This window comes from Homo sapiens, chromosome 3 (assembly GCF_000001405.40).
Source record: "Homo sapiens chromosome 3, GRCh38.p14 Primary Assembly".
Taxonomy (NCBI): domain Eukaryota; kingdom Metazoa; phylum Chordata; class Mammalia; order Primates; family Hominidae; genus Homo; species Homo sapiens.
The window spans coordinates 100733156-100761062 of NC_000003.12; the positions used below are offsets into that span (position 1 = coordinate 100733156).

The 27907-nt window shown below is 35.3% G+C and overlaps 2 protein-coding genes across 68 annotated transcripts in view, besides 1 other annotated feature; one reads left to right on the top strand and one right to left on the bottom strand.

The window, feature by feature from the left end:
* The window catches only part of TFG (trafficking from ER to golgi regulator), a 39678-nt gene extending 23866 nt beyond the window's left edge, over nt 1–15812 (top strand). For 5 of the 12 annotated variants that reach the window (XM_005247066.3, XM_017005527.2, XM_047447243.1 and 2 more), the window contains exons 6-8: nt 3421–3549; nt 11678–11776; nt 14994–15812. In XM_005247066.3, the coding sequence (XP_005247123.1) occupies nt 3421–3549; nt 11678–11776; nt 14994–15376 (611 nt within the window). In that variant the 3' untranslated portion in view covers nt 15377–15812. Of the gene's footprint in view, nt 1–3420; nt 3562–11677; nt 11777–14993 lie in introns of all 12 variants that reach the window. The other 7 variants (NM_001007565.2, XM_006713472.2, XM_047447241.1 and 4 more) reach the window with 3 other exon arrangements.
* Nucleotides 4052–4929: an enhancer, noted in NCBI's record as "OCT4-NANOG hESC enhancer chr3:100456051-100456928 (GRCh37/hg19 assembly coordinates)". NCBI's record gives its function as "activates a minimal SCP1, AML or CMV promoter by ChIP-STARR-seq in naive H9 embryonic stem cells {active_cell/tissue: H9 hESC(naive)}" and the evidence as "EXISTENCE:reporter gene assay evidence [ECO:0000049][PMID:30033119]".
* The window catches only part of ABI3BP (ABI family member 3 binding protein), a 244266-nt gene continuing 232359 nt past the window's right edge, over nt 16001–27907 (bottom strand). For 49 of the 56 annotated variants that reach the window (XM_006713572.4, NM_001377332.1, XM_047447926.1 and 46 more), the window contains 5 exons: nt 21457–21536; nt 20664–20693; nt 19632–19793; nt 18397–18519; nt 16001–17455 (listed from right to left, as the gene is read on the bottom strand). In XM_006713572.4, coding sequence (XP_006713635.1) covers nt 17340–17455; nt 18397–18519; nt 19632–19793; nt 20664–20693; nt 21457–21536 — 511 coding nt within the window. In that variant the 3' untranslated portion in view covers nt 16001–17339. The remainder of the gene's footprint in view (nt 17456–18396; nt 18520–19631; nt 19794–20663; nt 20694–21456; nt 21537–27907) is intronic. The other 7 variants (NM_001349329.2, NM_015429.4, NM_001349332.2 and 4 more) reach the window with 1 other exon arrangement.

A 27907-nucleotide genomic window follows, 5' to 3' on the forward strand; every position in this document is an offset into this window, starting at 1 on the left:
TTGTTTTATTCTGTTTAACTTTTGGTTATAATTTCTTCATTATTTTTTCCTGCTTTTTCTCTTTTCGGATTCTAATAACACATACATTGGAGAGCTTGATACTGTCTCATGGGTCATTAAGGTTCATTTTTCTTCAGTCTTCTCTCTGTTCTTCAGGTTGGGTGATTTCTGTTGAACTCTTCAAGGTCGCTGTGATTTCTAATATGCTGTGGAACCTTTCTAGTGAATTGTTTAATTGTGCTTTCAGCTCTAGAATTTCCATTGGGTTTTTATAGTTTCTGTTTTTCTGTTGAGATTCTTTATTTTACATTCATTAAGTCTATATTTTCCTTTAATTGTTTGAATGTATTTATGTTTGATTCTTTAAAAATATTTAGCTGCTTTAAAATGTTTATCTGCAATATGTAACACTTGGACCCATTTGGAGTCAGTTTCTATTGACTGGGTTCCTCTCCCCCACACACACTCCCCCCAACTCCAGTAGGGTCACATTTTTCTGTTTCTTTGCCTGTCTGATAGTGTTTGGTTGAAAACTAGACATTCTGGTTAATATGTTGTAGTGACTTGGACTTATATTCTTTTGAGGATTTTCTGTTATTGTTGATCTAGCAGGGAGTTGATTTGTATGGACTTAACATAAATAACAAACAGAAAAGCGCTCTCTAAAAGAAAAAGGTATTTGGGAATAGAGCATTGCATTGAAAATATGCATGCCATAGTAAACTATGTGCATATTCAGTGAGGTAAAGGCAGACAAAGGTTTTTAAAGGAAAAAATGAGGAGAATATATAATTGTTTTGAAATAATTATTGTTGGCTACAAAGATCATTAGCAAGAGTGATGCCAGTCTGAGGTTGGACAGGCAGTTTCTGGGCAGATGTCCTCACAGTCACAGAAGTTTTTTTTTTTGCTTTTTTTTTTGCAAAGTTGTGATGGCCTTTGTGTAGGCTTGTGGTTTTTGAACTCTTTTGTGATAGTTTTTGCAAGAATCCTCTCTTCATGGCCTTATCAGAGTTTTTAATTTTTTTTTAACATTAATGACTTCATTTTGGTTTTGATAACTTTCACATACTCAAAACTGCTCCTTCTTTCTCCCTATGGTGTATAGCAGCTGATATGTATGCTCAGTCCTTTCAGCTTGCTCTAGGTGCTGCATTTTTCTCTGAGCCTTCTTGAGATATCCTCGTCTGCTCTCCCAGCCCTATAGTCAGCTGGGGATTTGGACAGAGTGTATATACCTAGATCGTGGGTCTTACCCTTTCAGTAGCACCTTCACTTCCGGGATTTTCCTCCTAAATCTTCAGCTGCTTGTCTAGCCATAAGGTTGTTAACACTGTGGTTTTCTGCCATTGGAGCTGCAGAGGTCAGCGCTTTTAATTCTTATCCATTCTAATTTTATTGGGGTAAACTCCTCTGGTTTCTGATTGACTTTCAGTTATTTCAAATAGTTTCTTTTGTTTTGTTCATGTTTTTAGTTGTTACCTGGGAGAGAGTTTATCTGATGGATTTACTTTGCCTTTATCAGTAGTTGGAAATGTGTACAGTCCATTTTGTATTTCTTAGAGACTTTCATGGAATTACTCACAAAAGAGAATTGTGTGAAAATTTGATGAGGTCAGACTTTTAAATTTTGATTTAAATGTAGTATATTCCAGACTAGAATAATATTAATATGATTCACATTATTTGAAGACCATTTTTCTCACAGCTTTGTATGTTGAATTATAGTAGGAAAAACTGTATGCATAGCTAGGATACTTTTGTAGTTCTTCAGGTGTGATGTGGTAAAAATGTGGCTTATTAGAATAATGAATGTGGCAGTGGGAAGGAGGGATAAAATATTACAAACATGGAATGAATATTAACTGTAATAAATTACATATAAGGGAGGAAAGAGGAGCCAAAGTAATAAATATATATATTTAGGCTAATAACAGTGTCTTTTGTGGGAAGAATGTGTGTATTTATCTACATAGATATAAATTTAAGTAAAATGGTGGTAGATAGAAACCATCATCCATTTTATTTTGGCAATCATCAGTCTCTCTTGCATTACCACTATTATATCCTAGTTTAGGTTCTTATTAATACTTGGACTGTCAGCTGTCAACTGTGCCTAATACTGTGGTAAGTTCTGGGGATACATCAGAGCAGAAGATAGAGGTTTGCCCTTAGAGAAATTAGTCTGCTGATAATAGCAAGTACTTATATGGAACTTTCTGAGTAGTAGTCACTTTTATAAGCTTTTGCTGTATAATTCCTTTTATAAGCCCATGCTATAAGCTCTTGTAAACTCATAATCCTCACAATAACCTTATCAAGTAGGAATTAGTATATCCTTTGTACAGATGAGGAAACTGAGGCACAGAAAGAGATTATGTAACATGTCCAGAGTTACACAGCTAGTGAGTGACAGCACTAGGATTTGAACCTGGGTAGTCTAGCTCCAAAACCTATGCTTTTAACCACTCTTCTGCATTGCCAAAGCAGAAAGAATTTAAAGGAATAAGACATATTTACATTGTCCTCAGAATATCTTTTTTGACTGTCACAGCATTGGAACTGTAATATATTCTCTCCATTCATTTCTGTGTTCATTATTTTGTAAGAATTATAGTGGCTCCATATGTAAGTTAGAGTGCTAGGCCTTGTTCGGCAGACAAAAAGAATCAACAGTCAGGAGCCCGGCCAAAAGAGTGCAGAGTCTTTAAGAGGGAAAGTGAGAGCTATTCAGAAATGCAAAGTAGAAGTCAGTATGAGTTAACAAAAGTAAACTAGATAGAAGTTCACTAGTAGAAAAAGTATTCATGAGTCAAGAAGGCTTACTAGAAGTGTGGAATTATAATTGGATTTTAAATAATGTTATATTTAAATATGTGAATGTTATATTTAAATATATGGGATCTAGTGGGAGAGAAATAGAGGTCAAAAAAATATTAGCTATGTTATGGGAGTAGGGAGAAGGTTAGTTTAGCTGAAAGGGAGGCATGTGAGAAGAGAAATTGTGAGAAATAATGTTTGGACCCTTAATGCCAAACTAGGAGGTTGAACTTAATTTATGGTCAGTGAAGACCCCTTGAAGAATGAAGTGACAATTTTGGTTCCTGTGCAGAATACATTGCTTGGAGTAGGGGGATATTGGCATTGCAGACATGAGTTTTGATTTTTGCAGGGAGAGGTTAAGACTCAGGAATATAGTACTCTACACTTTATAAGGAAGGAGTTCCAGTTGTAGCTTTGGATTAAGAGATTGGAGCAAAGGAAAAAATAAAGTACATACATTTAATGTAAAAAGGCGTATTTGTGGTTATATACTTATTCTATAGTACTTTTAGTATCTTTTAACCAAACTTATTCCTTGAGCTTGCTGGGGGAAGGCCTTGTGTTGGATACTAAACTGACTTTTTTTTGACTATCCAGGGCCACCCAGTGCTCCTGCAGAAGATCGTTCAGGAACACCCGACAGCATTGCTTCCTCCTCCTCAGCAGCTCACCCACCAGGCGTTCAGCCACAGCAGCCACCATATACAGGAGCTCAGACTCAAGCAGGTCAGATTGAAGGTAAAATAGAGTTTAGAACACATGTTTGGGAAAGTACATGTGTAGAAGTGTTTATTACAGCATTGTTGTAAACACTTCATGTATTTAGTCATGCCTTAAACACAGGAAAAATTTTGATTTACTGACATGATTTGATGTTAAAAAACCAAATAGAACAATATGTCAGGTATGTTTCCAATTATTGGAATGAAAAAAATACCTCAAAAAAGTGTTTCTATGAATATAGATACAGAGTGAAAGACCAGTCATTAGTCAGTGGTGACCCTTGGAGGGGAGGATAGTGAAGTTCAGACTGGTGATTTCACACTTTATTTTGTGTTATAGATGCTATTTTATCTCCCTCCTTTCTTCAACATCTGTGCATGATTTTTCTAATTTAAAAAAGATTTCTGAATAGAGGTAAAGGATAACTTTAGTTGTAGTGGGTTTTTTTTGTTAAGATTAGTAGCCTTTTATAATTTTGTAAATTTAGCAATATGTCTTTAATGGAAAAAAAGCAGTGTATTTTAAGTCAGACTTTTTCTTCTGAAATAATCTGTCCTTGGATATGCAGTTTAGTCTCTCTGGGTTTTGATATTCTTTCACTGTAAAATGTGAAAACTGGACTGAACCCAGTGGTTTCAAAAGAATGTCTTTAGTTCTGAATGAAATATAACCTGAAAGCTCCATATTTAAAATAGGGGATTGAAGGGCAACAGACTTCACACAGCAGGCACTAAGGTGCCTCATTGAAAACCTTGGAGTTCTGCAGAATGTGACTAAGTACTTAACTAATCTCTAGGGTGCCTTCCAGATAATGAAGTGTGATTTTTGTATTGTCTATGTGTGTTGGGACCTTTAAAGCCGCATTCCACTTCAAAACAAACACCAGGTGGTGCTCTAACTATTTGTTTAACGGGTCAGATAGTGGTATAATGTATTTCCAGCCCCAGAAGCAAGTGATTAAGGTTATCAATTACATTAAAACAAAAACAAAACATAGGCTAAAATGAACTGACCACTTTTGGAATAGAATCCTATCATCCTGTGGTGATACTTTCAGAGTTACCTGGCTAGGTGTGGTGCCTCACGCCTATAATCCCAGCACTTTGGGAGGCCGAGCCAGGAGGATCACTTGAGCCCAGGAGTTTGAGACTAGGCTGGGTGACATAGTGAGACCCTGTCCCTACAAAATAAAAAAAGATTTAAAAAAATTAGCCAGGTGCTATGGCATGTGCCTATAGTTCCAGCTACTTGGGAAGCTGAAGTGGGAGGATTGTTTGCATTGTTGAATTGAAGTGGGTGGTCTAGGCTGCAGTGAGCTGTATCACTCCACTGCACTCCAGCCTGGGCAACAGAACGAGACCCTGTCTCAAAAACAAACAAAGCCAAAAAAAAAAAAATCCACAGAGTTGTCTGTTGGATGAACACCAGTCATTATGGACTAGCAGGTGACATTTTGCTGATGAATCAGTGGTTTGCGAAGAATTTCTTATTGCTTAAGCCTTTTCTCAACCAACTTTAATTAACTCCTCCTCTGCACCAAAATGCTACTGCCAAAACTAGAACAAACTAGAACTAAAGCAGATGTCAGCTGAAATGGACAAAAGCAGAGTATAGGTATGATGAGAGTTTAATGCCTACATCAAGCGAACTAAAGATTTGTTTTTAAATAAATCCCATTTTAAGCAGTGTATACTGTGATACAATGACAGTTGGAAGGATCATTGTACCAAATAATGTTTGCTGTTTATGTATAAATAAATGGGAATTAAGGCGCTACTAGCAATATCTAAACATTCTATGAAGTGTTTAATTGAGCATTTTCAAATAAGTAAAATTTTAAAAATGCGAAAGGACATACAGTGAAAATTCTCTCTCCCACCTCTGTCCACAGCAACCAAATTCCTTTTTTCAGAGGTAGCAGATTAACACTGTTTATATGCATTTAATTTTTAGAGTAGTATTGTATGCCTTGCTGCAATTAACTGTTAGCTTACATTAAAACATACAGTATGAAAATTGTACAATTAATATGTGACATCATTTAAACTATTAATAACTGATCTAATTCTAGATCAGTGCTGTCCAAAAGAATTACGATAGAAGCCACATGTAGTTTTTCTATTTAGCAGCATTAGAAAAATGTTTAAGAAAAGGTAAAATTAATTTTATTTAGCCTAATGTATCCAACGTGTACTCACTATTAAAAAGTTAATTTTTTTGGTACTGTGTATTGGAAGTCTGGGATTTGACACTGATTTGGAACACTTCAAACAACAAACAACATATCACATTTCAAACAAGCCACATTTCAGGTGCTCAATAGCCACATGTAGCTAGTGATTATTTTAAGAGCACAGCTTTAGATAAATATAGTCGTTATTTATAGATTCCCAGCATGAATTATAGGCTACTTTTACTTTTTGTTGTATAATGAGTCTTTGACATTGTCAGTTATTTAGATCAACTACTGGTTATAATTTGAGCAGAATTACCAACATAAAATGTATTACTTATAATTTGTTAACATAGCAATCTCTTACAATGTGTTAATAGTCCATACTAAAATTAAGAATTCTGAGTTGTTACTTAACTCCCATAAAAGGGACTTTGGAACTGTGAATTTTATTCCAAATAAATGTAGTCTTAATATGTTTTTCAGTTAAAAGGATCAACAAGATATTGAGCATCATTAAAAAAAAACCAAAAGGGATAATGTTACTCTTTTTCATATAAAGCCAGTGCCTGTTACAGGAAGACTATGTGATGTTGCCAGAAATGTAACTGGTAAGGAGAAGAACGCTAAAAATCATCAGAGATCGGGAGATATTGCTGTTTGACAGCCTAAAAAAATGAAAAAGCATATAATTAAAATCTTTAAAATCATATGCCAATATAATGAAAAGCTGAGTAGCCTTTATTATGTAAATATTGAAACATACATAGAATAATCAACTCTTCATGTAGTCATGTGGCTTCAACACTTACCAATATTTTGGCATTCTTTTTTCATCATTTTTTCCCCACTGCACCCCTTTTAATTTGCTGGAGTAGTTTAAATCAAATTATGAACAGCTTATTATACTCAGGTATTTCAGTATATATGTCCAACTGATAATCTTCTTTTTAATATAACCACCATGCTGTTACTTAACAGTGATTCTTTTTATTTTTAATTGTGACAGGGTGTCACTCTGTTGCCCAGGTTGGAGTGTACTGGCTTGATTACAGCTCACCTGCAACCTCAACAGTGATTCTTAATGTCAACGTGTGCTAGTCTGTGTTTGAATTTCCCTAATTGTTTCAAGATTCGTTTGTTAAATTGACTTGTTCAAATGAGGGGCCTAACAAGGTTCACACTTTGCATTGTTAATGTGTCTTGAGTCGTTTTTTCTAATAGCCATTAGAAAAAACTTACATGTTTCTAAAATCCCTTACATGTTTCTAAAATCAAAACTATGTGTATTATTTATTACTGTGTAACTATTATCCCAAAACATAGATACTTAGACAACAAAAGTTAATTATCTCATACAGTTTTAGACAGATATCCCGGAATGGTTTAGCTGGGTGATTTTGGCTCAGCATCTCTCATGAGGTTGCAGTTAAAAATGGCTGCTGGGGTTATAGTCATCTGAAGCTTAACCAGAGCTGGAGGATTCAGTTCTTTACCATTTGGACTTCTCCATGGGGCTGCTTGGGTGACCTCATGACATGACAGCTTCACCAGAATGAGTAATCAGAAGAGAGTGAGGTAGAAGATAACCTTTTATAGCCTGTCCTCAGAAATGTCACTGTCATTTCTGCAATATTTTCTTGGTATACAGGTCAGCCCTATTCAGTATGTGAGGGACTAACAGGGAGCAGATACTCATGTGCTTGTTGCTTATTTGGTCATTTTTGTATTGTGGAGTTAAATCTTTCTAATTTCTAAGAATATAAACGATACCAACCCATTGTCATAAATGCTATACATGTGCAGAAGCCGTTGAGGGTCATGATAGAGGTTGGCTACTCTGTGTAATAAATAATTCCCAGAAGTCTTACCATTACTCTTTGCTTCATCCTGTTCTCTTTTCCCCTTAATTTTTTTTATTACTTTTTACTTTATTCTGTCATTGATTCTTTTTGAAAATATACATAAAACATAGCTTATATATAGTCATGCACTGTATAACATTTCAGTCAACAGTGGACTGCATATATGATGGTGGTCTCATAAGATTATAATGGAGGTGAAAAATTTCTATTGCCTAGTGATGTGTAGCCATCATAATGTAGCACAAGGCATTACTTACGTGTTTGTGGTGATTCTGGTGTAAACAGACTTACTGCCAGTCATATAAAAGTGTAGCTCACATAATTATGGGTAGTACCTAATACTTGATAATGATGATAGGTGACTCTCTTACTCATTTGTGAATTTACTATACTATATTTTTAAATCATTAGAGTGTACTCCTACTTATTTAAAAAAAAACAAAGCTGTAGAACCAGGCTCAGATAGGTCCTTCAGAAGGTATTCCGGAAGAAGGCATTGTTATCATAGGAGATGAGAGCTCCATGGATGTTCTTGACCCTGAAGACCTTCCAGTGGGACAGGATATGGAGGTGGAAAATAGTGATATCAATGATCCTGATGCTGTATAGGCCTAGGCTAATGTGTATGTTTGTGTCATAATTTTTTTCTAAATGTTTAAAAAAGTAAAAATTTAAAATTAAAAGAATAGAAAAATGCTTATAGAATAAGGATATAAAGAATAAATATTTTTGTATAGTAGCACAATGTACTTTAAGCTAAAGTATTAAAAAAGTTAAAAAATCAAGTTTATAAAGTAAAAACATTACAGTAAGCTAAGGTTAATTTATTGAAGAAATGGAATTTTAAAAAATAAATGTAGTATAGCCTAAGTGTATAGCGTTTGTAAACCTTTAGTAGTGCACAGTAATGTCCTTGGCCTTCACATTCACTCAACACAAGTACCTCACTTGGAGCAGCTTTTAATCCTACAAGCTCCAGTCATGGTAAGTGCCCTAGGCAGGCATACCATTTTTTATCTTTTTTGCCATATTTTCACTGTACCTTTTTTATGTTTTGATATGTTTAGATACACAAATAATTACCATGTGTTAGAATTGCCTAAGTATTCAGTACAGGAACATGCTCTACAGGTTTGTAGACTGCTATGTACCATATAGCCTAGCTATGTAGTAGGCTATATACATCTAGGTTTGTGTAAGTATACTATATGATTATACAGTGACACAATTTTCAGAACCTACTCTTGTCATTAAGCAATGCATGACCATATTTTTTATTACTCAAAACATTGCTTACTATAAACAATGTCTGCATTTTGCTCTCTTCATATATCCTATAGATCTCTCAAGTATGTGAAGAAGTTCATCCTTTTTCTTTTTTTAAACAATTAAACAGACTTCTTAATTAATTTTCAGAATACTGTGACAGTCCCATTTGGACTTGAATGAGGTGGGTTTAAAGTAAGTACCGTAAATCCTCACTTAACATTGTTGATAGGTTCTTGGAAATTGTAACTTTAAGTGAGATGACGTATGAGGAAATCAGTTCTACCATAGGCTAATTGATATGAGTAAGTTGAGTTCCTACAGCATATCTCTGATCACAAAAATACCCCCAGACTTCTAGATAAAGACTAAAAACAAATGTGAGTTATAGATACATTTAAGAAAGATTAATAAAAACAAATAAGATAATGATTTATGCAGTTATTCCAATTCAGGGTTGTGGGTGGCTGAAATCTATCCCATCAGCTCAGTAGCAAAGTGGGGACCAACCCTGACAGGTTGCTATTCCATTGCAGGGTGCATTGCAACCACACACACACCCATAGTCGTTCAGACTGAGATCATTTAGACATGCTAAGTAACCTAACATACACATCTTTGGGATGTGGGAGGAAATTGAAGTGCCCAGAGAAAACCCACACAGACTTGGGGAGAATGTGCAGACTCTACACAGAACAGTAACCCCAACTGGGAATAATTTTTTTTTCCTTCTCAGTGTTTTAACGAAACAATGTCGAACAAAAGATGTTATTTGAGGATCTGCTGTGTAAAAGGAATCTTGTGTAGAGATATAATAAACCTCTGAAATTTTTAACTCTAGGGATGTTTTTCAAAATCAATTTATAGCAGTTTATGAAAACATGCAAAAAAAAAAAGCTTTATGAAGAGTTGTACCCTATAAATTTTTATTGAGGGGAATAACTGTGGTTTTGACCAGGAGTTCCTTACTCATTGATGACCACAGTCTACTACTACGTGGAACCTTAATCTCAGCCTTTTTTGATGATGCCCAAGTTAATATTTATATTGTTTTGTTCATGGGATAATATATGCAAAATGACTTTATAAACTAAAGCTTTGGAGTTATGCCTGAGTTCCAGTGATGGTTCTTAGCTCTTCATGGTTCTGTTCTTAGCTATTGACTGCAGGTAAGTTGCTTAATTTTTCTGTATCTGAGATAAGGAATACTAATATGGTTGAATTTTTTTAAATGTGTTTATTGCCTGTTTGCTTATTTTTTTATTGTGGAGTTAAGCCTTCTAATTTTCAAGAATTAAGAGTTCATTGTTATGTGCTATACGTATTTATTCCCCTTGATTATATTTCTGTACCTACTTACCTTTTTATTTTAGATTCTGGTCACTTCTATTCCGAAAGTTAGTTATGAAGTACAATCCAGGATTAAGGTGGCATCTAAATTTGGTTAATTTCTGTGCTACCTTTTATGCTATTAGTCTAAATCATTAAGAAAGCATTTAAGAAACTTTTGTAAGCGTTTCTTTTTTTTTCTTGTCATATTTGGGAATAGGATAAATAGCTTAAAATAGTTGAGCTGATTTTTATTTGTATTCTTTTTTTATTATAAAGAAACATTTGCTAGGAAATAAGCTGGATATAAACATAGTTGTATCTCCTTTAGTGCTACCCAGCACTAAAAACTTAGACACGTATAGGGCTGAGCAGCTGGTATAATAGAGTGGGCTCCGTCTCATTTTCTAAGCCTGTGAGTCCTAGCTGCCTACTGCAGCTCGATTTGAGTGGGAGTTGATATAATGTCTTTTTTTTTTTCTCACTTCAGCAGTAAGTATCTGGTTTGCTCATAGTCTTTTGATTAATAGGTAGTTTGAATATTTTTCAAAGAATCAGCCAACATGTGATTATTTTAAAGATTTAAATACCAGATAGATATTAAAATGCAAGGTTATTGCTACTAGATATTACATCTAGCTAAATCAACCATTGTGAAATAATTGAGAAGTAGAGATAATAAAGACATAAACCAATAAATCTTTGCTTGAAAATCACAGGTATGGGAACAGATTGTGAGGACAGAAAAATAAAAAGTAAAAAGAAAAATCATAGGTAATAAGTGTCTAAAGGGTTTCTTCATAGGAACAGTGGTTGTTGACCCCAAATAGGACAAATAGGACTCCCATGTTCAAGAACACATCACCGTTGTTAAAAAGGTCTGCCATTATTAAATAGTGCAATGAAGAACCATTTAGACTTTATTAGAGTCCACGTTATTGGCAAAAGATGTTGGATATTCATAGAAAATCAAACTTGACAAATTCCAAAAGTGTCTTTCAGCTCTGGAACAAAAGATGTCATATAGTTCCTTGCTACCAAAGAGTTTGTTCATATGGTAATAGAGGCCCATACCTTTAGAGGGCAAATACAGTGCTTTAGGAAGGACTTAGATGATATAAATGGTATTTGTCCCTTTTCTCATTTTTATTTACTGATTTTCAACTCACTTGGCTTTTAATGAACATTAGCGTTACTTATCTGTTGGCAGCTGGGTTGGAAAACATTTGTTTTTCTAGACTTTATGAAATGGTAGCCACTGGTGTTGCACTTAATGTTTATTGCCAGTTAGTTCTCTGCAGTTAATCCACAGCAGAGGAATCACACTTCTAAAATGGTTCATTCTCTTCTTCATAGACATTTAAAGTTGAACAAATACTTTCTTGTATATTGTTACTCTGTTTGGATGGAGAGGGAATGTATATGTATCTTAAAAATATTTCTCTTTGCCACATTAAACATGCCTTTTTTCCTTGTGTGTGTGTGTGTGTGTTTTCAGGTCAGATGTACCAACAGTACCAGCAACAGGCCGGCTATGGTGCACAGCAGCCGCAGGCTCCACCTCAGCAGCCTCAACAGTATGGTATTCAGTATTCAGGTGAGCAGGTGTTGAAAGGGAGTTGGCTCATGGTTTTTTGTTTCTATACTCATTAAACTTTAAGTTCTTAATTCCTTGATTTGTAGTACATTGATATAATAGGTATTAAGTTTTTATTAGGGGAAACAACATTTGTTTTATTTATTTTTAAATATTTTACATTAATATTGTAAATCAACATTTCAGTTTTCTGGTGGGGAGATAAAACTTACAGTAGATGATTCTGCAGTAACTTGTAGTATAAAAAGTTTTTAATACAAAGCTGTCTTACTAACATTATCAGTTTATCTCTTAGGCGACTTAGTGCAAGTTTTCCCCCTTCCCTCCACCTCTCCATTTATATGTAACACGTAATTCCAGTGTACTCTTAGTACCTGTAGAAATATGAACAGTTTACTATACATGGAAAGGTGATGTTATTTAAATAAGAGCTCAATTAAGCTACTTAGATTTTAAAATCTCTTGCAAGTATGTAGGAATACCAGAAATAGGCCATAAAAATAAAATCGTATAAAATGTAATTCAGGCAACTAAGAACATTGTTTAGTTGTTTTAAATAAGCATCCTGAGTATTTTGTTTCTATTTTACCATCTGTCCACTGAAGATTATATGTATTTAAGTATGATAAATATTATTAATGTAACTTTGGCTATAATTCCAGTATTTTTTACAGTTATGTCAGAGAGTTTGTGTCCAACTCTTGTTTTACAGCCAAAGATTGAAGTATCAGAATTTCAACTGTAATTAGAAATAATTTATGCAGGTTGAATCTAGTCTAAATTCTATTTTATAGAGTTTTGTGGTATCAGCTAGAGCAGGAGTCAGTAAAGTATAGCCCACAGGCCAAATCTGGACTATTGCCTGTTTTTTTGAATAAAGTTTTATTGGAACACACTTCTACTTTTATATTCTCTACTGCTACTTGGGCACTAGAATGGCAGAGTTGAGTAGTTGCAACAGAAGACCATGTGGCCCACAAAGCCTAAACTATTTACTATCTGGCTCTTTACAGAAAAGTTTGCTGACTCCTGACCTAGACCATAACATTCTGTCATTAATTAAAATTTGAAATATTTTGACACAATTTTATTTAGATTGTATTTGCTGTAGAGTGACTTAACTTGTAGCTACTTGTTTTTAATTGTATAAAATACATAGAACTTAAGTTTGGATTATATCAGGAGGAAGGTTATTTTTAGGATGCAGTTCTTTTAAAAAAATCAGTGTTACAAACTATGTTATTTATAGAAAGAATAGCAGAGCTGAAGAGATTTAGTCATCATTTAATCTCGGGATTTCGGTCCTCACTATGCTTTAGAATCACCTGGGGGAGGCTATGTGTGGGGCCCCATTCCCAGAGATTTTGAATTTCATTTGATTGGGTGTGGGACTCAGGCGTTTGCATTTTATAAATGAGGCAACTAGTTTTGAAAGAGATTGTGACTTGTCAAAGCACATACAGCCATTCAGTGGAGGGAGCTGGATCAGTTCAGTATTTCCCTGTATCATTCTGCATTCTACAACCTAGACTGGAGTTGGCAGACTTACTCCATAAAAGGCTAGATGTCCTATGTATTAAAAAAAAAACTCACATAATTTCCATATTTCCATTTTTTTGCTATTTCTGATGTCCTTCACCTAAAGTTATTTATTATTTTGGAGGGACGGAAGGGAGACTATATATATACACACACACACATGATAGAAGCATTGCCACATTATGTTCAAGAGACTGGTGGGCTGCTAATGAAATCTTCAGCCTGTAGGGTTATTCCCTCCCCTAAGCAATAATTAAGGATCAGATTACTTCCAGGCCCAGTTAAAAAAAAACAATTCAGATTTCAGGTGCCAGGATGAAAAGGCACTTTTCTTTTTTCTCGCAGTGTTAAAATGAATAGGCATTTTCAGTATAAAGCTGAATCCATCTATTTCTTCAAAACCTTATAGTGAAAATTTAAGTTTTATGTAGAGGATAGGAGAACTTGTATGACATTCAGAATTTTTTATGAGTTGGTTTCAGGTCAGTATTTAGATGCTACCATGAGTTAATGCGTTAAAGATACTTGATTTACTTATTAAGAACTAAGCTTGCTCTTAATAAATTTAGTCAGGGTCTTCACTCTGAGTAAAATTTAGTCTTTTCAAATTATTATCTTTGTATTTCTGATCCTACTAGTCTATTAACTTGAATTTGATTGAGAGATATGGAAATAGTCAACTAAATACTCTGCTTGGAGACTAAGAGGTGGTGGTGGTAACATTGGACCATCTTTGACACTGTTGGTTTGCCAGTTTCCCTCTGACCTTTTCCAGTTTTGTTCATGGACTATGTCATAAAGGTTTCTTTCATGAGTAAATTTTGAACCCAGGTTCAAGGTGAGTTCAGAATATACTCAAATTCATTCAATCCTTTTTTTTTTTAATGCAGGGTTGTACATATTTTAATAATTTTCTTATGTATCTGGTATTTAATGCTGACAGGATTCCAGTCAATGGAGAGGTTTCATTGCAAGTAGCTGCAGGTGTGTTTCATGGTAGAGATAAAAGTTTTCAGTGAAGCAGACTTTCGTTGTAAAAAAAATTACATCCTAGTAAATAATGAATATAGATGTTGCTTTTTATGGGGCAATATGGTATGCTTTTTATGTGTTATGCTGTACTGCTAAGTAAAAATTTTGAGTTGTAAAGGCAAAAAACATCAGATACCAAATCTAAAAGGAATGATTTTAAAGATTGTGAAAATGGTACTTTTTATTTATTTGCAAAATTTAAAGCACCTGATTAGTACAATAAGATGTATTTATAGTATTATTTCATATAAAAATGTTCATTCTCCGCAATGTGTTTTTATTTGATACTGTTAAGTAGGTCTCCCCTGAAAACCTGGTTAATGACTATTTAGCTTTCCCATTTTTGGTCTTCCTAGAAAGTATAATTCTTTCATTTATCATTTGAGCATCTGTTCTAGGAATTATGCTATGTCAGGAATTTGCTCTCAGGGATTATGTCTTAGAGAGTTTAAAAAATTGTAGAGAATGCCTCTTTGATAACTACTTGGTCTTGAAATATTATGTGATGGAATCTACCACTCTGCTTGTTACATACATATTTATTAAATTTCTCACCATTTTTGGTCCACCTAACAGTAAGACTAATTCTTTGGAAAAGTAGTTTTACTAAAAGATAAGATACATGTTATTTATTTTGCCTTTTCAGCAAGCTATAGTCAGCAGACTGGACCTCAACAACCTCAGCAGTTCCAGGGATATGGCCAGCAACCAACTTCCCAGGCACCAGCTCCTGCCTTTTCTGGTCAGCCTCAACAACTGCCTGCTCAGCCGCCACAGCAGTACCAGGCGAGCAATTATCCTGCACAAACTTACACTGCCCAAACTTCTCAGCCTACTAATTATACTGTGGCTCCTGCCTCTCAACCTGGAATGGCTCCAAGCCAACCTGGGGCCTATCAACCAAGACCAGGTTTTACTTCACTTCCTGGAAGTACCATGACCCCTCCTCCAAGTGGGCCTAATCCTTATGCGCGTAACCGTCCTCCCTTTGGTCAGGGCTATACCCAACCTGGACCTGGTTATCGATAAGGAGGCTCCTCTACACCAATTAATGTAGCTGCTAGCTATTGGCCTCCCAAAAGACTCCAGTACTATTTTAATTTGTATTGAAGAAGTTCAGAAATTTAAAAGCAGAGCATTTTTTATGATATCATTGTTGGTGTTAATTGAAAGTATAATTTGCTGGAACACAAAGACCAAAATGAAAGTTTTTTCCTCCCTGCTTAAAAATGTAGCAGCTTCTTAGTTACTTTGGAACACTACTCTTACATGTATAAAGTGATTGACTTGACTTTCTAGCTTCCCTTGTCCGGAGGATATTAAAATGCTAGGGTGAGGTTTAGCCATCTTACTTGGCTTTTTACTATTAACATGATGTACTAAAGTAGAGCCCTTTGAGAATACAAGATATTATGTATAAAATGTAACACTGATGATAGGTTAATAAAGATGATTGAATCCATTAGTGGTCTTGAAATTTTAATTTAGTCACTAACATTATGTGAAAAAAGGAACAATTTTTCAGAAGTCCTTATTGGTGTTTGGTCTTAAAATGAAGTATAAACATTTTAACTAACTTACAGATTTCCATTCAGAGAAAACAGTGCCATTTGGTTTTTGCCCTTCCTTTGAAAAAAATGCATTTGGTAATCGTTGGTTTAAAATGAACTTTATTACTTCATAGGATGAAAGGTTAATTTAGGACATAAACAAACAGTAGATATAATGGGGGTTGGTAGAGCCTGAATAAAACTTAGTGATTTTCCTTCTCGATAAAAGGTATAGTTAACATACTGATGAACCATTCAGAAATAACAAACAAAAACTCAATCTTAAAAAAAAACTACATCTCTTTATTGCAGAATTTATACTTGTTTGAAAAATACAAAATGTAGCGTTGATAAGATTGAAGCATGTTGAAAGGTAAGTACAGGGAAAGGTCCTTTCAGAATGACTGCAACAGTGCAGCAAGGATTCCCATTCCCCGCCTAAAGGACAATACCTTTTTAATAGAAATAAATGAGTTAGTTAGTTAGATTTTTATTACAGATTGAATTAAACAGTTACAAAGACATTCTCTGATACATTCATTCATAGAGGTCTTAACGTATAAATACATAGTAAATATCCTATAAAATGGTAGGCAATCTCATCGTGCATTATCTTTTTGTGCTCAGACTTGACTTCACATTCAGTCTCTACATACAGCTTGATTAGAATCATAAAAACAATATGAAGACGATTGCATAAAGGGATAGTTTGACAAAGCATATTCAGATATTGTAACATTTATGGTGGGTAAAAATGTATCTTTTGAAACAATATATTAGACTCCATTTTTAGCTGAAATGAAATTTACTGATTCAATCTTTTTAAGAATTTGTGGATGTTTAAAGGAAATGTATATTAGCATGAATGTGTAACTATTAAACTCCTCCGCAAAGCTATTCAGCTGTTGCTAAAAAATTGAAGTTTAAATATAAAAAATTGAAGTTTAAATATAAATGTGAAAATTCGGACCTTTTTTCCCCAGATATACATGCTGAAGATAATTTGATCCAATAAGTTAAACTAAGTAGAGATTTATGGAATTAACTCATCAATAGGAAGAGTACACATCAATAAAAGTAAATTTTTTTTAAAAAGTATATACCTTTTTGATGTTAATTTTGTTATAAAAGTATCTCAAAACATCATTACAACAGTGTGATAAATAATATACAAATGATCTCTTAAAATACCATGAATAGGGAGCCAGCTTCCCCAAAAATGTTATTCTGTTAACATCAGTATCTTGCTTTCTTAAAATGACTTTGTAAAACCTGATAAATACTCTCAGCAATCTTTTCTAATAATAAACATCTAGTATTGCTATTAATTAGATTGTAGACTTTTATACATAGTAAACAAAATAGCTTTAAATGAATGCGGCATAGTATTTTCAATGATTTTTGTTTGCAATGATGAAACAGAAGGTAACTTTGTGCAGCATCTACCATTTTCCAGGAATTGTAGTCCCACATTCATACCACTGAACATAATTGATTTGGGTGTGACCACCTATTTCTCCAAATTGGACAGGTTCCTGGCGAACTGCTCTGAAATAACCTGAGAGAGAAAATAGTTTCATTTTAATAGCTGCTGTATTATATTTTTGCCCTCACAGCTCATAGATTGAAGGATGTCGTTGACTAGCTGAAGGCTAATCTTAGTGAAGCGAGGTAATTTAGAAAACTGAGAGCAAGAAGTTCTGGTGTTTTTTCCTGAGGTGTAGTCATGGTTGGCTAAAATGGGCACCTGAAAAATTGTTGACATTTGCCGTGTCAAGTTAGGAGGGGATGGTTGGTAGTGAGTTTCACTGCCCATTATGTGTTCAAAGAACTTAGTAGGTCATCTTTCAGTATTGTTGGTATTTTTAAGTGCCCGTGAACAAAATGTGTTACTGAAAAATCGAATCAAATAGTTTATTTAGAGAACCTCCAGGTGATTCTGGACTAATAGGAACAATTAATTTACCCCCTTCTGCACTGCTTAGACAAGGATTAATTTTCAGTCTTATTCAGTCCTCATTACACAGCTTGGTGCCAATGGGTCTTTAGCAATTTACAGAGGTTATTCATTTCCCACAGAATTATTCTAATTATATTTATACAGTTACTTGCAAGGTAAGTACTATTTTTTCCATTTATGATAGCAGTAGTTAAAAAATTTTTTTTCTTAAGGAAATAAAAATAACGCAAGTACACTCAGTATGACAAAACCCATAACATTAATAAATGAGTGATTTAAGTTTGGGAAACTGCTTTTTTATAGCTGTTTTTGCAAGTTTAGAGTTTCTTGAAGTAGAATGCATTTATATTATGTCTGTAATTTCCCTTGGCTCCAGGTTTCTAAGCTGAGAAACTTACATTGAAGTCTTCATTTTTTCCTAGATATGTGGAGCAGTAGTACTATAGAATTCTTTTTAAATTGCTTGCTTTCCTCAGCTTGATTTCTTTCTGAGTTAATCTGTAAAACTCTGTTCTTATGAGGAGGATCAGAAAACATACCTTCTTTGATTGGTAACTGGTCAGAAGTGAGTTGCTGCCCAGTGCGTCCATCTAAAAATGAATCCACAAACTGGCAGTGATCTTCTCCATGGCCCCTCTGATCACCTATGTTATAAAATTTTCCTGAAGAACCAGAAATTAAAAGGATAAAGTTTACTTTCTTACTTTGAAATGTGACAATTTTGAAATCATCATTACTGTTTTTGTACTTTCTCCCCTCATTCTCTATTACCCTAGTTCAAACCAACAATGTTTCTTGCCTACCTGTATTCTTCCTCCCCTCCCTTTCAGGGATTAGTGATCTTTTAAAAATGCATGTCAGTTAATGTTCGTTCTCTCCATAAATTTCCCCAGCAGTCTCCCATTATACTCAGAATAAAATCCAAAGTTCTTACCTGATTTCAAACTCCACATGATTTCACACCTGCCTGCCCCTCCACTTACTAAGTCTGGGCCATACTGGTGGAACTGGCCAGGTGTATTCTACCTTAGGCCTTTGACCTTCTCTTTCCTCTAGACCTTTGTGTGGTTAGTTCCTTCTCAATTTTCTCCTTAGCTAGTGCTAACTAACTTTTTAGAGAGGCCTTCACCTTTTTGAAAATGTTCTTTAAAGTACCTCTATGAAATGTTTACTTATTTATGTATTGTCTATCTCTTCTTACTAAGGAAGGGAAGGAGAGGTAAGCTTTAGGAAAATAGGAAATATCTTTTATGCTGCTTTGTGTTCAGCACTTAGAAGAGTTGAATGACTGAAAAAAATCTACTTTTTAATGTTAGGGCCAGGCCTATTCATTAAAAATTTTTACTCTGTAAATATAGAAAATTATAACCTATTGGGCACGGAGCAGGGGGTTGTAGCTCTTCTAGCATCTTGAAGATGTTATATTCATTCCATGGTTATTGTTAGATTTAGTCACTTTATTGTCAGTCGGTTTTTTTATCCCTGGATGGTTGTAACAAAATGGAGTTTGACCATGGTTAGTGAATGTACATTCCAGTTTGTCATGATGGCACTGTTTTATAATTGCATTTTTATTATTTACCTTCTAATAGCATGTCTTAAATCCTTGCTTTCTAGGAATGATAACTGTTTCCGTAACATTTTGCTCAGAGGAAAACTTGTGTTTACAGCACCCATTCGTGCCTGAAACTCTTAAGAAAAGGCCAAGTTGTACAATGCTGCAAAACATTCCCATAAGTTAAGGGCTGAAAACAGAGCTGGTAGCTCTGCTTACCTGTGAGGGAGTCGCTCAAGTAAATCTTGTATCTGAGAGAGTTGCACAGCTGCACTCCTACAAATTTTTTATACCATGTCCTTTTGACATATTGTTTGCCCTTACACTCTGAGTAAGAGTCTGAATTAAAGGGTCTTTCAGTCCAGATGGCATCTCTTCCTGCTACAAAAGGAAAATAGTTTGAGTTTAGTATCTGACTCTTGGGTCAGATACTTCAAGAAATCAGTTTACAAAATTTGTCAACTTGCTGATACCTTTTTTTCCCCCCATGCTAAATACTGGAGCCAAAAATATTAGAGGGATTTAAACAAGTAAACCCCAGAGTAAGTTTCTGTCAATAGATAAATCTGAGAGCAGCATGTTAAGGTGTTTAGGTGTTGAATAGCCTCTGCAGAGCTGGATGTAGACAGTGTCATTTAGGAGCAAATTTAGGTTTCTTTTTTGTAGCATGTTATAAAGTTTAGACAACTGCTTTAATATGACTTGTTATTAAAAGTGGAAATGAGGGTGTTAATATCTTTTTTTTTTTTTGAGACAGGATCTCACTCTGTTGCCCAAGCTGGATAATGGCTCACTGTAGCATTAACCTCCTGGGCTCAAGTGAACATCCCACCTCAGCCTCCCAAGTAGCTAGGACCACAGGTGTGCATCATCATGCCTAGCTAATTTTTTATTTTTAAATTTTTTGTAGAGAGGGAGTCTCATTACGTTGCCAGGCTGGTCTCCAGCTCCTGGGCTCAAGCAATCCTCCCACCTCAGCCTCTCAGAGTGCTGGGATTACACTGGCTGTTTTATTAAACAGTAATAAGCCTGGTGCATGAGTGAAAGCAAATTTCAAAATGTCCAACTTGTTCCCAGAACATCATGGGTCCTCAGTGTTGTACAATGTGTAGGTAAACATTCACAACTGTTTGGTGTTATAAGAAGACTAAGTGGAAAAACGCGAAATCATGATTCAGATTCTGCCATGCCTGTTCAGTTGAATAAATTTAGAAAAGCATGTAGTTGTGCCTCATTGAGACAGGTACTTACCAGAAACTGGCTCACTCACTCTTGGGTCCGCTGAGGAGAAATAAATAGAAAAGTCAGACCTTACTAGGTAAAACCCCAACATTCCAGTGGCATGGTGAAGATGATGGGGGCTTACACTTGTTAAGAAGTCTTATTTGCAAAATGGTACTCTTTTGCTAAGGATTGAATTTGAAAGTTTGCTTTGTTTTGGAAATTGTTCTTGATTGAATAATCTCCTGCCTGGTAGGTATTCAGCTGTATCTGTTACATGTAATTTGAGTACTTAGGAACATTTGTCGCTGTTCCAGCTTTCACTTGAATTTCAAAAGCTGCTGCTTTTAGTTTGATAGAAAAACTTCATGGTAAAAATCACCAAGATGCCATGAACTACAGTTGGTATAAAAATTATGCAAATATTAATGCTGTATGTGCAGATGTATCTCATTAAGGAATTGGAGATTGTAAGGTCTAATTGGGAAGTTTGACAGCTGTTATTAAACTATCATGGGTTCCCTTTGTGGATGTACTCACTGGTATTTTCATTCTAGACATGCAGGAGAGGATTCATTGACTAGCTTTTTGGAAGAGTATAGATTCATTATGCTTTTTAAATTAAACTGATGTGTCTTTAAGTGAGGAAAAATATGCATGGTGTTTCTCTAAACCTTCATCAGTTTGCTTTTTCCCACAAATGGGTTTTTAGAAATTCAAGAAACAGTACATGTAGTGGGTTTCAAACAAACTTCCTACGCAAAACATTGCTCCACTGTGGCCCTTTTACATCCTTTTTGGGAATTACTGTTGATGTAATTACCTGATTCAGTACTGAATGCCACTGTGTTGCTGACCGGGCCTTCACCAAGCGGGTTTTTGGGTTTCACCTGGAATTCATAACTGTTTAGGGGAAAATAAAAAAATACTTGTAATACATTCTTGAGGGCTAGGAGGCAACATTGCCCTATTATACGGACATCCACTATACTGACATCCCTTTGAAATTATGACAGTGAATGGTAACATATGTTCCAGAAGCAGGTTGAGGAAAGAAAAATGATTTCTTAGTTTTACTATCTGAACAGCTTGTCTAATGTTTGAGTAAGCATTAAGTTAATAAAAAAGATGGTTGTCTTTAAAAATCTCCCAATTAGTACAAATGACTTGGCAGGTTAATAAACATATAAGAAAGTGGTATATGGTAGACAAAGGCTAATTCCAGTAACAAGGAGCCTGTTTCTTTAAGATGTCTCAGCTACTTCCTGGGGCCAAGAAGTGGCAAGATTCCATTTTATTTTCTGTTATCCCAACCCTGAGTATAACCCTGGACTTAGGCCATCTTTCTCACTGTGGAGTTTGAACTACTTATGTCAGAATCACATCATAGGGTGGCAGTGGTGAAAGTGTCTTGTCCTACTCTAGGTATTGAAGCAATTTTTGAGGAGATTCAGGTAAGAATTTATAACTTCCCTAGGTGAGTCATGTGCCCACTGAAGTTTGAGAACTACTAGACTAAGCTATAGTTAGTCTGTTTAACTGTAGACTAAGCTATGGGAATAGATACACATAAATGTTTCTTTGCAAGGACTTCCTAGTTGTATCGCCTGGAACTTGGGTCTTCTGTGGATCACAGGATTCTATGATGTCTCCAGAAAAGAGGCATGGTAATGTTGCCTTACAAAGAGCAGGAACACAAACACAGGCATTTCTCTCCCTCCATACCCCAAATTCATATCGGCCAGTCCCTTAACCTTTTGTTAAACAAAACCCCCAAACAACCCTAGGTCCCTTGGAATTATAAGTTCCGTTGATTGTATCCTTAAGAATTATTCTTCAAATTATTGTGCAGTATTAGCAATTTTTATTCATAAAATATGTAAGCAAAGCAAATCTTTTAAAGAAATGTAAACAGTAAAGCAATTTGCCATTTGCCTGAAATTAAGATTTCCCTTCAGCAGCAAGTGGACTTGGCAGTGAAAGAACATTGAATTCAAAAGTCAACCTGAGTCAGCTAATAATATTTTGAGAGTTTCAGATTTGCTCAAGGCTTTTGGGAGATAAATTTCGTCTTTGAGAAGTTTATAATTAAATAAGAATGCAGAATGCACAAAAGATAGATATTTTATAAACAAGTGAAAAATGGATGACAGCTGTCAGTTTGGTACGGATGGTACTAAATGAGCAGGAAAAAAAATTTGAGTCAGTTTCTTGATCACTGAGGTATTGTGTTAACATTGCTAGTATCTAAGAACAGATTCTAGTGCTACAACAATGGCAACCATTTTCTGAATGCTTACTATGTATCAGATGCATTAGACATTCTACATATATAAAGCAATACAACACATGTAAACCCTGATGAGATAAATCTTATCCTAATTTTCAGCTGAGAGCAATGAGGCTCAAAACACTTGTACTGTTACTATTTTTGCTTTTCAAAACTTTAAAACTGGCCAGGTGCGGTGGCTCGTGCCTGTAATCCCAGCACTTCGGGAGGCCGAGGCAGGCAGATCACATGAGGTCCTGAGTTTGAGACCAGCCTGACCAACATGGAGAAACCCTGTCTCTACTAAAAATACAAAAATTAGCTGGGCATGGTGGCACATGCCTTTGTCATTGTCATTTGCAATGAGAGATTGTTGATACAAAAACACCTTTGTCACCTACAGAAATCACACACACATGGGGTATTTTCACATGAAATATTTTCCAGAGATTAAATTTTTGCTAAGAGGCCTGAAAACAAAACAAAACAAAAAAGCCCATAGAACTACAGTGAACTGAAAATGGAAAAAAAGAAATCATAGCCATCTGGACTTTGATTCAAATGGGCAGTGCATTCCACATTCGTTCCAGGCCATTGCCAAAAGCCCTGTGCTTTGGCCAAGTCTGATTGCTGGAATTGTCTCCATGTCTTTTTATTTCACAGTTACGTACACTTAAGCTCCATTTTCAGCATGCCACATATACAAGCTACTTTTTGGGTTTTTTTTTTTTTTTTTGGCCAATATTTTGTGATATTTGACAAGTTTCAAAGAAATTATTTTGCACTAAATTTAATTAACATGGGAACTGAAAGGCACATTTTTGTTTTGGCCTGATTAAACCCTATATAACAAAAATTATTTGTGTTGGTAAAATTTTTTCTGAAGAAGCACATTTTGTCACAGATGAATGACATCATAGGTCTAAGAGAAATGTCTCAATATTGATTGTACATAGAAAATAAAATTTAAAGTTTCAGGAAACAGTTATTTGAAGTAAGAAACTTCAAATAGAAGTTTTGGAAGATAAAGTTGAGGACATTTCACAAATACTAGAACAAAAAGTCAAAGAGATGAAAAAATGAGAGAAAAGAAAGTTGGAGAATTATTCCAGAGAATATGGTACCCAACTAGTAGGAATTGTAGAAGAAAGAAAGGAAAGGAGATAGAAAATTATCCTAGAAACTTTGTAATAAATTTCCCAGTACTGAAAGACAAGAGTTTCCAGATTGAAAAGACCTACTCTGCCCAGCAAAATGAATAAAAGAAAAAGGACTAAAACATGAGTTACAAAATTTCAGAGTACTGGGGTGATAAAGACAAGTCCTCAAAACTGAGAAGAAAATAGGTCCCGTTCAAGGGATCCAGAATCAGGATGACATTTGACTTTTTAACAGTAACACTGGAAGTTAGAAAATAGAACAATTCCTTCAAAAGTCTTCATTATATCCTAATATGTCCAGCTAAAGAATAGTATCAAAGTAAAACAACTTTTAAAACATGTGAGGACTCAAAAATATTGCCTTTTATAACTTTTCCTCAAGATTTATTTCTTTAGTGCTACAAAGTAATGGAGTAAACAAGGAAGAAGTCTTGTGATGCAGGAATTGGGATTCAAAACAGAGGCAAAGGATGTATAGGAATTCCAAAAGAGATGTTGCCATTAAAAACATACAACAAATAGAACAAAGAAATGACTGGAGTATTTGAGCATCTTGTGAAAAGGTCAGTCTAGACATAGGGATTTAATTGACAGAAGTAATGGACAAAATGGTAAAAAAAAAATTTGCATCTGGGGAACCAAATTTAGCAACAGGGAGGAGATGCTTTTGTGATAATTTAATTTTAAAACTGTACATATATTTCTGATGAAAATTAAAGAACTATAAGACCTACCACATCAAAATGAATATCTAAATGGAATGCAGTCCAGATGACAAATGCTGTCAAGCCTTTTGGCCCCATCTAGGACAAGCCAGGTAAATAAAGCCTCACAGAATGCCATGCCTGATTCTACCTGGGTAGGTGTAAATCCCCTCCAAAAACAAACAAACAAAAAAAAAACAATCTTCCCCGCGCATCCCCATCAGGAGGCAGCATGATCCAGGGGGCGTTAAAAACATGGGTTCTAGAACCAGAAAGATTCACAGCTCACTAATGTGTGACTTTAAGGTAACTTAACCTCTCTGAGCTTCAGTTTACTCTTACATAAAAATGAGGATAATGCTATTTGTGAGGATACTATTCGTTATAGTAATTATAACTTCACGGGGGCTATAAAAGCATCTGTGAGGATTAAATGAGAATGCATGTAAAAGCAAGGTGCTTGACACATAGTAATAAGTATTCACTAGTATCATATTTGTATCTCTAGATAATTTTTTTTAAAGAGTTTCTGTTATTGGGGAATTTGACAAACACTGCCATAGAACTCTCAAGGCAGAACTCTTCTATGGCCACACACTTGCTTTTTGCTTGTGAAGTTTATAAGAAGGGTATAGCCCACGGGTTATTGGAAAGATCGAAAATTTAACAGGTAAACCTTTCTGCCTGCCATCAACATAGATCCACAGGCTAAGAAAAAAATGTTATATTAATATTTCATTGAGTCTAGAAAGCACTAAAAAGCATTATCTCAGAAGAGTGGCATAATAGAGGGTATTGTTTGACACCAACAGTTTGAGAGCAGCTGTAAAAATCAGCATGAGAACAAAAAAACATAGATCAGTTCATTGAAAAGTGAAAAACTAGGATTTCAAAAAGTGTGACCTGTGGCTCATGAGCAAAACTGTTAAGAGACAAGAACCTCCAACCTGTAGGCTTCTAGCCTGAGACTGATTTCTTCTTTAGTGGAAGAGGTAATATCCTCAAGCATAACCTTCAGATCTGGATGGAGCAGATGCTTGCCATTCCCTACCCCGTTTTGATCCTTTCTATAATCTTTTCCTTCTATTTTTTGCCTACAATTTAGAACTGAAGTAAAGTTTTCATTATTTAATAAACTTTTTAGTTACATACTCCTTACTGATTTAAAAAGTTGGTTTTCATTCTAACAAAAGTCTTACAAATCTCAAGCAAACTGTTTTTTATATAGAAAGTCTACCCTATAGCTGTTGGTTTGAGTTGTTCAGCCGAGTTTTACCCCTAGTGTAGTCGTGAAATATTTGATCCCCATTCAGGTGAAGGTTCAGAGGGAGATAAATGGACAAGTAGAATAAGAAAAAAAGAGGAAGGACTGCTCAACATGGGAAAGGAGAATCTAATCAGTTTGGGTAAGCTTGACTGCAAGGACACTGAAGGATTATGGTAAGCATTTCTGGATACCTGCCACATGTAAAGTTATTATGCTGATCTGGGAACACAGATAAGGAGCAAGAGGGGAGAGCCAAGGGGGCACTCAGAAGACAAAATAAGGCTAAATCAGGGTATCAGTAGTCGTGGGGTCATAAACTAGCTGGCTCTTATGCCATAAGGGGCATTTTTTTGTGTTCCCCCACTTCTGTGGGGACACAAATTCCAGAGTTGGGCTGTACTCTAATTCTGTGGTACTGTTATCACTTTCTTCCACTCCCTTCCTAAATGCCAAGCAATAGCAAAGAAAAATAAAACTATGTGGTTATGTGAGAGGGAATAGTTGTTCTCTTTATAGACTAGTGGAGTTATGTACTTTTAGGTAGCTGTCCTTCTGCCCCATGAAAAGTTGTCAAACTGAGCAATCAAGTCAATTTCTTCTTCAACAAGGAAGGAATTGGTCTGCTGCTGCCCACACCTACCACAAACTAAATAAAATGCCTGACGCTTTGGTAGCTTATTTTACTCCTTTCTACAAAGCCCATAAGAAGAGATGTTGAGAAGTTAATACAGAATATGCAGAGACTAGAATTTCGCAGAAACACTATGAAAAGGGTATAATGGCTATTCCACATGCCTGCATCATTCAGCCAGATTGACAGTGTATAAGAAATTGCTGTGTCTATTCCAGCTAACCAGTGCCAACATTTTATTAAATCAACAAAACAACAGTCCCAAACCATCATTGCTGCCAGCTATAGGATACTTTGGTAAGTTTCAGTCTTAGAGGAAGATTTGTTCTTCAAAATCCTCCCAAGCCAGAGAGGTCAGTAAAAGTACTTGAGCAGATTAAGTGAATTTGATTTATCTCAATTACTAGACAGTACATTTTCCATAGGAAATTATTAGACCACATGTAAGTCTGGCACACACAATGAATTCTTTAATTTTTCAGTAAAGTAAGGAGAGAGGTGAGTTCATTGGAAGAGAAGAGTAGGATTAAAGGGCTTTTTCAGTGTGCAGTGATTGTGTGTGTTCATCCATTTGCCCAGCCAGTTCATTAGGAAGAACTCCGTCCATCAGTGGATTATCAAAATGTGTGCTAGAAACAATTCATCTGAAAACAAATTGCAGACTGCAGACAGAGATTTAAAGACAAAAAAAAATGTTTACTGGGACAATTCTGCTTGTTATGGGATTGAGCTAGGTTTTAGTTTTCAGTTTCAGTTCTCTGGCCGACTCCATGCATGGCTTTGAATATCACAGAATTATATCATTTTAGAGCTGGAGGAGACTTAAGAGAACGATAATCCACACTCACTGTCCCAATAAGCAGTGGTGTAAGACTTATTAAGGCATACTTTATCAGCTGCTCTATTCGCAGAACTAAAGCTAATCATAGTGGTCTTTGCAAAGTGGTTTGCTCTAGATAGGAGAGGCTCTTAATATTTTTCTTTTAGTTTAACAAGAGGCATACATTGCCTAAGGAGACACACAGAGGATTGGTGTTCTTGGGTAATTGTATGGCAGAGAGGGTTTTTTTTTTAAATTTTCATTTTAGGGGTACATGTGCAGGTTTGTTATGTAGGTAAACTCATGTCACAGGAGTTCGTTGTACAGATTATTTTGTCACTCAGATACAAAGCCTAGCACTCAATAGTTGATTTTTCTGCTCCTCTCCCTTCTCCCACCCTTCAGTGGACCCCAGTGTCTGCT